The 11,557-nt window shown below is 32.9% G+C and overlaps 1 annotated feature.

The window, feature by feature from the left end:
- Window positions 7,960–9,159: an enhancer, noted in NCBI's record as "MED14-independent group 3 enhancer chr5:28726574-28727773 (GRCh37/hg19 assembly coordinates)". NCBI's record gives its function as "activates an origin of replication core promoter dependent on BRD2, BRD4, P300/CBP and CDK7 cofactors, and independent of MED14, by STARR-seq in HCT116 cells {active_cell/tissue: HCT116}" and the evidence as "EXISTENCE:reporter gene assay evidence [ECO:0000049][PMID:35650434]".

The following is an 11,557-nucleotide window of genomic DNA, read 5'->3' as shown; positions in this document are numbered from 1 at the left end:
TTTAAGAAGTGCTGTGTGGTAAATAAGAGCTAATAAAACAGTATTAAAGAAATGCATGTGACTTCTTAATTAACCAACTTTAATGTCTCTGTGGTATTTCAGATAATTGTATAGACATCTTCTCTGGATAGTGAGGGTAGAAACTACTCACAGTACTATAGAAAAAATCTATAATAATTATAAGCTGAATTTCTTAATTATGTAATCACTTTCATGAATGGGACTGGTTTTATTCTTTTGAAAATTGTATTAGGTGGACATATTTTGGAAATATCTTCTTTATTATTCATATGAGAAAAATAAGGCTGAGATATTTTTAGTAAGCTCTCAAATGTAAAAATTGTAGTAAATGAATGTACCAGGACTAGGGCTCTTCGCTAGAACCAAGAATAGAAAGAAAAAGAAATCCTCTCTTTCCCAACAATCAACTATTTCCCTTTTCTCATTTTTTAACACTAGGGTGTCTCCTTCCTTCACACTCCATTGCAATTGGCTTGTCTGTTGTCAATGTGGTATCCTTTAAATTATTAGGAATTTTTAGTCTTCTTAAGGTAGTTTGAAAGAAGCCAAAATAATACTAAAGTTTCAACTCCATCTTCATGGGAAAATGAAGCAGGGCATCGGGGTGAAAGAAAATTGAATTAACAATCTAGTAAAGCTATAGCTCTTGTTTTTAAGAGCAAGTATTAGGCCGTTTTTGCATTTATAGGATTGCATTTTGCATTTATTTATTTCTATAAAGGAATACCCGAGACTGGGTAATTTATAAAAGAAGTTTACTTGGCTTGCAGTTCTGCAGGCTTTACAGGAAGCATGGTGCCAACATCTGCTCAGCTTCCAGGGAGGCCTCAGGAAGCTGATGATCATAGTGGAAGATGAAGGGGGAGCAAGCACGTCCTGTGGTAGAATCAGAAGCAACAGAGAGAAAAAAAAGAGTAAAAGAGCACATTTATTAGTAACTACCACTCTTATTTGATGAATGTAAAGGAAATTGAGTCATTGTTTGAGTCATTGCAGGACAGCAGGAGGTGCTACACACTTTTAAGCAACCAGATTTCCTAAGAATTCACTCACTACCTGGAGGGCAGCACTAAGGTTATGGTAGTGTATCATTCATAAGAAATTCTTTCCCATGATCCAATCGGCTTCCACCAGGCTCCACCGCCCTCAACATTGGGGATTACATTTCAACATGAGATTTGCACAGGGATACACATCCAAGCTATGTCAAGCAATGATTCAAGTTTTTATTTAGAGAAACCAAAACATGAATTTGAATAACCCAAATGAAAAATGACATTATGTCTTACCAACCCTCTTGCTGTGCATGGCTCTCTAACTTTTAGGTGTACTATAAGGAAGCAAATTTTAGCTTCCTTTAAGTTCATCAAATAACAGCTGTAGTTACTTATAAATATACTCCTTTATTTTTATGCAAATAAATGTTTCAAGTAAGCTTTTTAAGTTAAAAAATACAGATATTTCAAAGAACAATAGTTGTTTTTCCAGGTATTCAAATGTGACTAAGGACAAAAAGTCATTTAATTTTAAAGGGTATTTTTGATAACTACTCACAGTCAAGGCAGCACTTTCTACCAAGTTGAAAAACACGTTCAGTAAAATTTATTTTCCAAGTGAGTCACCGTTTCTCAAATTTGAAAAATATTTAACAGGAAACACTTCATTTGGTGAATATAGAAAAAAAAGTTTAAAATCAGTGAAATGGTAACTGTAAGTAATTGTAAAAAATGAAAGAAATAGCCTCATATCTTGAACAGAAAAAGAGGCTGGGACTTAAGCAGCACAATTATAAAGACAAAGATCGGATACTTTAAAAGATCAGGTAAATAAAAGTGTTTTACATAAAGCTTTGAACAAAGTGTGGCTTTGGAAGTACAAATACAGCAGTACTTTCTTTTTATCAAAAATAAAGATATGTGTTCCATAGCTAACAATACTTGTGTGTTCTCCACCAACTAAATTTTTATTATGGGATCTTTTAGGGACAAAGACAGAGGAAGAGAAAACATAGATGAGTGAAAGCATATGAAAAAATTAGCACACAGTACCTAAGGAAAGCTCTTTGGAAAAATGTCTGTTCAGGTCCTTTGCCCATGTTTTAGTCGGGTCATTTGGATTTTGCTATTGAGTTGTATGAGTTTCTTGTATATTTTGGATTTAACACCTTATCAGATATATGGTTTGCAAATATTTTCTCCCATTCTCTAAATTACCTTTTTCATTTTGTTGATTATTTTATTTCCTGTGCAAAAGCTTTTCAGTTTGATGTAGTCCTATAAGTTTATTTTTGTCCTATAAGCTTCTTTCTGCCTTTGTTTCTGGTGCTTTTGAGATCATATTAAAGAAAAAAAATCATTGCTAAAACCAATGCCAAGGAACTTTTCCCTTATGTTTTATTATAAGAGATTTAAAGTTTCTGATCTTATATTTAAGTCTTTATTTTGTGATATATGTGTATGGATATTGTGTTTATACATATACATATACATATAATAAAATGTATTTTTATTTGGCCATATAAAATTCCTGCCATTTGTGACAACAGGGATGAACCAAGAGGACATTATGTTAAGTGAAATAAGCCAGGTACAAAAAGACAAATATCATGTGATCTCACTCATATGTGAAATCTAAAAAAGTTGAACTCATAGTACCAGAGGTTAGAAAGGTGGTTGCAAGGGTATTGGGGAGTGGGGATGGGGAGATGTTGGTCAAAGCACACAAACTTTCATTTAAAAGATGGATACGCTCTGGGAATGTAATGTACATCATGGTGACTATAGCTAATAATACCATATTGTTTACTTCAAATTTACTTAGAGAGTAGATCTTAAGTGTTCTCATCACATGCACAAATACACAAACATGCAGGTTACTGCTAGGTTATGAATATATTAATTAGCTTGATTGTGATAATCATTTTACAATGTATCTATATATCAAATAATCAAGTTGTATACCTTCAATACACATAATTTTCATTTTTTAATTTATATCCGAATAAAGCTGGGAAAAAATAAAACCCCAAAACACCCAGAACCTAAAATTAGACTTTTGCAGGGATGTTTAAGTGTCAATTGAATATTTGTGATATAAATAATTATTTAATATAACTCAACAGTTTTACAATTGTTTTGCCATGTAATTCTTCAAACTGCAGTTTCTTGCCAGCAAAATAATACCATTAAAATACTTTATTGATATAAATGTATATACAGATATTTATCATCTTTATCAAAACAGTTTTGCAGCTTATGAAAAACACAATGCCCTATCTGCCTCAACGCTGCACAGAATTTTTATACGCTTTTAAAATATTAACATTAGGGTCATGACATGGAGATTACTGGAATGTGAGCAATTAACACCAATCTCAGATTTTATATCTTGTGAGAACTTGCTACTGTGCAAGTATCTTAAGAAGCCTTGGTGTTAAATGGTTTCTGATAGTGTCACACAAAATTCACACATATTTTGTTCACTGAGAAAGACTGAAAAAATTGTATGGCTAACAAAATGGATGAAAACATTAATTCAAATCTTTAAAAGGAGCATTCACTGAACTTTCCACTTATGCTGATATAATGTGTAACTTTTAAGCCACTACTCAGAAATATACTTGAGAAATACTAAAGATACTTGGAAAAACTGAAGCTAAAATACAGCTTAACTTTTCCTTTAAGCCAATTCTTCTAACCATACAAGAATAACCAACCCCATTTTAGCCTAAAACACAAAGTGAATATAAAATTCATTTTAGACTCAAAGATAAATACATTTATATAAATATAAATATATATGCATGCAAATACATTGTAGAAGACACCAACAGCTTGTAAGGATTTTCATTAGATGTTGTTCTTATGATTGATGTAATTATTTTTCCTTATTGTTATATTATTTTTGTGACTTATTTGTTGCTTTTGAACAGAAAAATAAGTATGATAAATATAATGTAAAATTCTATTTTTTGTTGAAACAGAGATTAACTCTCAATGATAATATTTACCAACTATTTTTAAATTATTTTATATTTAAACAAATGGAACAACCATCCTATCACCTAGTTGGGAAGGGAAACCATGAACCATTTTTTAATTAACAATTAAAAAAAAAACAAAAAACAAAGATGCTATTCACTCTGGAACATATTATCAAGTGCTGACAATACAAGAGGTAGCTCAGTTACAAGTTAATACACGCATTCAGAACACCTACTTTTATACGATTTAAATTGCAGGTCATATCTAAAACTTTATTTCAGGTGTTTTATTTTATGTTTTTAATTTCAATAGGTTTGGGGGAAGAGGTGGTGTTTGGTTACATGAATAAGTTATTTAGTGGTGATTTCTGAGATTTTAGTGTATCCATCACCCAAGCAGTGTACACTATACTCAATACGCAGTCTTTTATGCCTTATCCCCTTCCCATGTATTCCCCTGAGACCCCAAAAGTCCATTGTATCATTTTTACTCCTTTGCATCCTCATAGCTTAGTTCTCACTTATAAGTGAGAGCGTATGATGTTCGGTTTTCCATTCCTGAGTTACTTCACTTAGAATAATGGTCTTCAATTTCATCCAGGTTGCTGCGAATGTCATTATTGTATTCCATTTTGTGGATAAGAGTATTCCATGGTATATACCTATACCACCATTTCTTTACCCACTCATTGATTAATGGGTATTTGGACTGGTTCCATATTTGTGCAATTGTGAATTGTGCTGCTATAAACATGCATGTGCAAGTATCTTTTTTGCATAATGACTACTTTTCCTCTGGGTAGATACCCAGTAGTGGGATTGCTGGGTCAAATGGTAGTTCTATTTTTAGTTCTTTAAGGAATCTCCACACTGTTTTCCATAGTGGTTGTACTAGTTTACATTCAAACTGTACTATAAGGCCATAGTCACCAAAACAGCATGGTACTGAGGAACAGAATACAGAACCCAGAAATACACCCAAATACTTACTGATCTTTGACAAAGCAAACAAAAACAAAAAGTGGGGAAAGGACACCCTATTCAACAAATGGTGCTGGGATAATTGTCAACCCACATGTAGAAGAATGAAATTGGATCTCTTACCTTATGCAAAAATCAACTCAAGATTGATCGAGGACTTAAATATAAGATCTGAAACCATAAAAATTCTAGAAGATAAACATCTAGACATTGGCTTAAGCAAAGACTTCATGACCAATAACCCAAAAGCAAATGCAACAAAAACAAAGATAAATAGATGGGACTTACTTAAACTCAAGAGCTTCTGCACAGCAAAATAAATAATCAACAGAGTTAACCAACAACCCACAGAGTGGGAGAAAATCTTTTCAATCTATATATCTGACGAGGAACTAATAACCAGAATCTGCAAGAAATTCAAACAAATCAGCAAGTAAAAAACAAACAATTCCATCAGAATTGGGCTAAGGACATAAATAGACAATTGTCAAAAAAAAGATATACAAATGGTCAGGTGTTTTATTTTTAACAGAATGTTAGGATTTCTGGAATAACACTTGCATTACTTCTATTATTGTTGGCTCTCGGTTTCTTTGGCTACAGTATCAGTAGTCTCTGGGAATAATATCCTATGTCTTTGTAGTATTCTCCTAAGGCCTCGGAAAGCCTGTTTTTAAAAGTTTATTGATACAAAATAATTGTACGCATTTATGGGGTACATGTGATATTTTAATACATGCATACAATGTATAATAATCAAATCAGGCTAACTAGACTATACACCACCTCAAACATTTATCATTTCTTTGTGTTGGGAACATTTCAAATCTTCTTTTCTAACTATTTTGAAATATACAATAAGTTTAAAATTTTGATACCACAGTGGGTGACTAAAAAGTATATTTTATATATGCTATGAATATTAAAGTTTCACTCATCCAAATCTTACTATTTTCAGCAAAAGTTGATTCTGTCATGTTGTGAAATGCAGAAATATTTATTTACAGAGATGAAATAAATATTAAATTATTAATTTTATAATGTTTTGGTTCACTGATGCATATTTTCCATTATCCCAAAAATGAATCTCCCTGGAATATTCTCCCCCTTATGCCTATCTTAATCCTATAGAATGGGGAAAAAAATCGAGTATAGTGATAGTGGTGACAGACCGGCACCTGTCTTAGAACTCAGGTCTCTCATGTTGCAGTATTATAAATGTAGATAGTTTACTTAATTTCTTTAAGCCTATTTTATCTATAAGTGAGGGCAATTATGATAATGACTACATAAGAGTGTAGTGAGAAGAGAATGAGCTGATAATTTAGAGAGCACTTCACTTAGAACTTGGCATACTGTAAGCATTAAATCAATATTGGTTAATTATTTGTAGTAGTAATTTTAAAGTCCACATTATTGAGTTCTGTTCTCATGTTTCTGGGCACTTAAAATTTTAACTTCCTTTGCAAGTACTTAAAGTCACATGGAATTATGAGAAATGTATCATAAAATGTATATAAAAATTAGTAAATACGTCATTTGTAGAACCTATTGAAAGAAACCTTAGAGTCACAGTTGTACCTTCCTGAAAAAAAATTTGATATTGTTTCTAATACAAAAGATCAATAACTTGTTCTATACAAAAGTGTATCGATGTTACATTATTACCTTTAAAGCTATTTGGGTAAACTAGTAAACTAACTTTAATTGTGAACAGATGTCATCTCATGTTGTCTTAACTTTTGAAATTCTGATAAATTCAGTGCAATCACTATGTTCTCCATTCCTGTAAGAATCACTTGAATTCCCTGATCTACCTCCTGGTATTTACTAATCCCTCTATGTCTGTGTTTGAATTTTTATCTCCTTCACATCTCATTTTCTGTGGCTGCTCTCTCAGCTGTAGCGTCCCATGAGGTATGGTGTTGTCATCACTTCGGTCTTGTGTTCAGTCTTAGCTTTGATTACCATAGGCAATAACTGTTCTACAAGTGGCTTAAGAACAAGGTGGTGTCTTGTTCACTGATTCATTCCCCAGGACCTGAAATATCATTTGGTAAATTGTAGAAACTAAAACAATATGTGTTGAATGAAAGATGAGTAGAGAAGACTTCATGTCATGTTTTTTCTTCTCGAAACACTCTTCGCAAAACACATTTGACACCTATTACCCAAACTTAACTGTCCACTACTCTAAAATTTGACTGGACTTAAAATAAACTTTACGTTTAATACATTAATATTGATGCCTTACACTTTATGGATACATGTTTATATATGAAAGTAAATATACCTGTTTATTATTTTCTTGACTATCTGAACTTATTACACCATTTTTAGGATCACAAATGAGACAGTAGTACTAAATTTAGATTGATTTTTCATGCTCATAATAGCAACAAATGCATAGAATATTGTGTTTCTTGTTATCTACAGGAAGTTATATATTCAATAATCAAAAAGTAAGTTTTGTCATTCAAATACTAATTGGAAAGTAAATTTTTTTCTGCTTTTTGTGTATTAATTTTCAATGCTCTTTTTTCTATTCAAGTAATTTATGTTTTTTCCATCTGGTATAGAATTTGATGTTTTCACTCACACTGTTATCTGGATTGTTTATGTGAAGACACAGTAGGGGAGTACCCTTGTTTGATCATTGAGAGTTTTGTTAAAATAACACAAATGAATGTTTGCAGTAGCTCATCATGGTGACAATTATGCTGTCTTCTCAGACTAGAAGTTGAGGAATAAGGAATCAAAATAAAAGTAAGGAAACGATGATGTCTGCATATAAAGATAAAATGAGCAAATCAGGAGTATGCTAACCATGGAATTTAAGTGTAATAAATGAATATTTGAAATGTTATGATGTTCATTTGTTTTTTATAGTAATTTCTCCATCCTTATCAAAAAGTGCTAAAGTAAGATTTAGAATACAAACATAAAGACCATTCTCTGGGAAACAGAAAATTGTCTACCTTATTTTCTTAAGTTCTTCTACACAAATGATGTAATTCCACATGTGATGAGCTAAAATAAACGTAAAAACAAAAAGAAAAACTGGTAAATATTCTTAATCCTCTAAAATATTCATTTGTATCAACTCTTTACCTTATAACAGATATATTAGTTAGGGTTCTCTAGAGGGACAGGACTAATAGGATAGATGTATATATGAAGGGGAATTTACTAAGGATTATTGACTCACGCGATCACAAGGTGAAGTCCTACAATATGCCGCCTGCACCCTGAGGAGCAAGGAAGCCAGTTAGAGTCCAGAACCTCAAAAGTAGGGAAACTGACAATGCAGCCTTCAGTCTGTGGCTGAAGGCCTGAGAACCCATGGTAAGCCACTGGCGTAAGATCAAGAGTCCAAAGAAGAAGTTGCAGTCTAATATTTGAGGGCAGGAAGGATCCAGTACAGGAGAAAGATGAAGGCTGGAAGACTCAGCCAATCTAGTCCTTCCAGGTTCTTCTGCCTGCTTTATCTTAGCCACACTGACAGCTGATTTGATAGTGTACACCTAGATTAAGGGTGGGTCTGCCTCTCCCAGTCCACTGACTCAGATGTTAATCTCCTTTGGCAACACCCTCACAGACACACCCTGGAACTATACTTTGCCTCCTTCAACGCAATCAAGTTGACATTCAATATTAGTCATCGTAACAGATACCTGTCACTTATTCATTTATATGATTTTAGAAATGTCTACATCAATTGGAATGAATAATATGAAACTTTAGTTCTTACCTGAAATAATTCCCAAGTTTGGCAATCCAGGGCAGGTAGGATGGCTCCACAAAGTCATTAAGAATATTTGTTTCAACTGTTATTCTACCCTGCCTACCTCAGCAAATGGCTTTTAGTTTCAAAGTTGTTCCAAGGCCTTACATAACTGTTGGAACATGTATCATTACCACTACATTTGAAGAAGCAGGAAGGAAGAACCATGAAAAGTGGGGGTAAACAGCATGTTTCCTTAAAGAGTATTTCTAGAAGTCCCATTGCTATGGTTTGAATGTGTCGCCTCTAAAACTCAGGTGTAGTCAATGTGATGGTATTAGGAGTGATGCCTTTTAAGAGGTGATTTGATCATGATAGCTGTTCCCCCATTAATGGGATTAAAACTTCCATTGAAAAGGGTTCAAACAGCTGTTCGCTAGCTTTTCTTCTTTTCTATCATGTAAGGACTTGGTGTTCCTCCCCTTTGGAGGATACAACAAGGACACAATAAGAACAAAGACATCACTTTGTCTTGTTACATAGATCAGTAATGCATCATCCTTGATATCTCTCGCTTTAATCCAAGTATCTATATTATAACACATCCACTGTCAATCATCTATATTCAAATAAAAGCCATTCCTTTCATGTGCACAATAAGCCTCATTCATTCAGCTTGCACATGGCAAATATATTGGGTTTTGTTGTTGTTTTTTGTTGTTGTTGTTTTGTCCCTTTCACAGTTGTTATTAGCATGGCAGGTAATTTTATTTTTCTACTTTTAAACAATCAAACAAACCTCAATGCCATTTCTAGATACTGCTTATTACACAAAACCTCTCATGGTAAAATTCCTTGAAAGAGTTGTCTATTTGTGAAGGGCTCAATTTCCTTTCTCCCTTTCTCTCCTGAACCTATTTCAGTGAAGGGATTTTGTCTCTCTCTCCGTTTCTCTGCAACTGCTCTGTCAATGACCTTATGGCCCTCCACATTGCTAAGTCCGGTGGCCATTTCCCAGGCTTCATTTCAGTCATCATCAGGAACATTTGAAAGAGATGATCACACATTCTTCCTCGCGAAACCCTCACCTTACTTGGTTTTCATGCCAGACACCTCTTTTGTTTTTCTCTTCTTTCACCACTAATTTTCAGTGTTCTTCACTGAATTGTCCTTTTGGCCTGACTGTTAATGTTGCACTGGGTTCAACTCTTTTTTATTTATTTATTTTTAAAAGTCTGTATACAAACTTCGTAGGTGATTCTATCTAGTTTCATGGTTTTTAATATCATCAATATGCTGATGACCTCCAAAGTTGTATCTCTAAACTAGCTGTCTCCTCTGAACTCCAGATTCAAGCATGCAATAGTTACTATGTTATCTTTATGTGGATAGCTTATAGACACATCAACCTAGCTCAGAAACGTCCTCCCAACTAGACTGAACATGATCGTTCTCTTAATTATATGCTTTCATGTAATCATGTTCTTTGTCCTATATGTATATATATTTTTTTCTATTTTTACTTATTAGACTGTAATCTATCATGTAAGGACACGGTGTTCCTCCCCTCTGGAGCATACAACAAGAAGGCCCTCACAAGATACTGGCTCCTCAATGTTGACCTTCCCAATACCGTGAGAATTAAATTTCTGTTCTTTGTAAATTACCCAGTCTCAGGTATCTTGTTGTAGCAGTACAAACATACCAGGAAACTTACTGAACAATTTTTGCTTATATCAGATTAGTAAGAATTAGTCACAATTTCACATCTACCGACAAGAGAGACAGGGATGTATATTCTATTAACTTGGAGCATTACTACATTCTGAAGTACAGGGTTATTGTTACTAAGATGGAAGGGGTGAAAGGACATTAGTGTAGGGAGACAAAGATCTCTGCCAAGATCTTTAGTGCAGATACATCACATTTAAATTTCTAAGTATTTTTCAAATTACTATTGTTTGTTTTTATTGTTGCTATCTTTTTTTAATAAACATTTTACTGTGGGATTATTTTCCAAAACCATTAGGCTTCACTTCTTAATAAATGATTCATTTTAGAAAGAAATCATCTAGGTTCTAGTCTCTGCTCTGTCATAAATGCTTTGTATAATCTTGGCAAATTGTTTTATAGCACTGGATTTCAATTTCTTTAATATGAAATATAAATGTTTTTAAAATTTAACCATAACATAATTTTACCATCTATTTTTCACTTATCTATGTATGATGCATGTAAAATAATTATATATTAGTAAACACGTTTCTAATGCTTACCACAGACCCAATTCTGGAAAATATATCAATACAAAATTAAGGAACCCATTATTCAACTCTGCATTTAATTGTAACTTATCCTCAAAATAGTAAATAATTGTTCTAAATTTTTATTTTTTAGCATATTTTATTCTGAAACACAAAGGGAATCTTATTTTTTTTAAAATAAGTTATTAAATTCATTTACTACATTATTTTACAAATAATTATTTAGCACATCCTATGTGATGGCTATTGTTGTACGAATTTATATTATATATTAAAAGAATAATCAGATAGATCCATACTCTTTAGTAGATTAGAGTCTAATAGGTAAGAATAGAAAAATTACATACTTATAAGACAAAGGACATGATTGTATGAAAGCATATAATTAAGAGAATGATCATCTCAGTCGAGCTGGGAGGACTTTTCTGAGCAATATTGCTGTGTTTATAAGCTATTCACATAAAGATAACATAATAACAATTGCATGCTTGAATCCGGAGTTCAGAGGAGACAGCTAGTTTAGAGATACAACCTTGGAGGTCATCAGCATATTGATGGTATTAAAAACCATGGAACTGGATAGAA

The sequence above is a fragment of the Homo sapiens genome, chromosome 5 (genome assembly GCF_000001405.40).
Source record: "Homo sapiens chromosome 5, GRCh38.p14 Primary Assembly".
NCBI classification, from domain to species: Eukaryota; Metazoa; Chordata; class Mammalia; order Primates; family Hominidae; genus Homo; species Homo sapiens.
The sequence above is the reverse complement of the archived record's forward strand: the minus strand, read 5'-3'. Positions and strand labels throughout refer to the sequence as shown.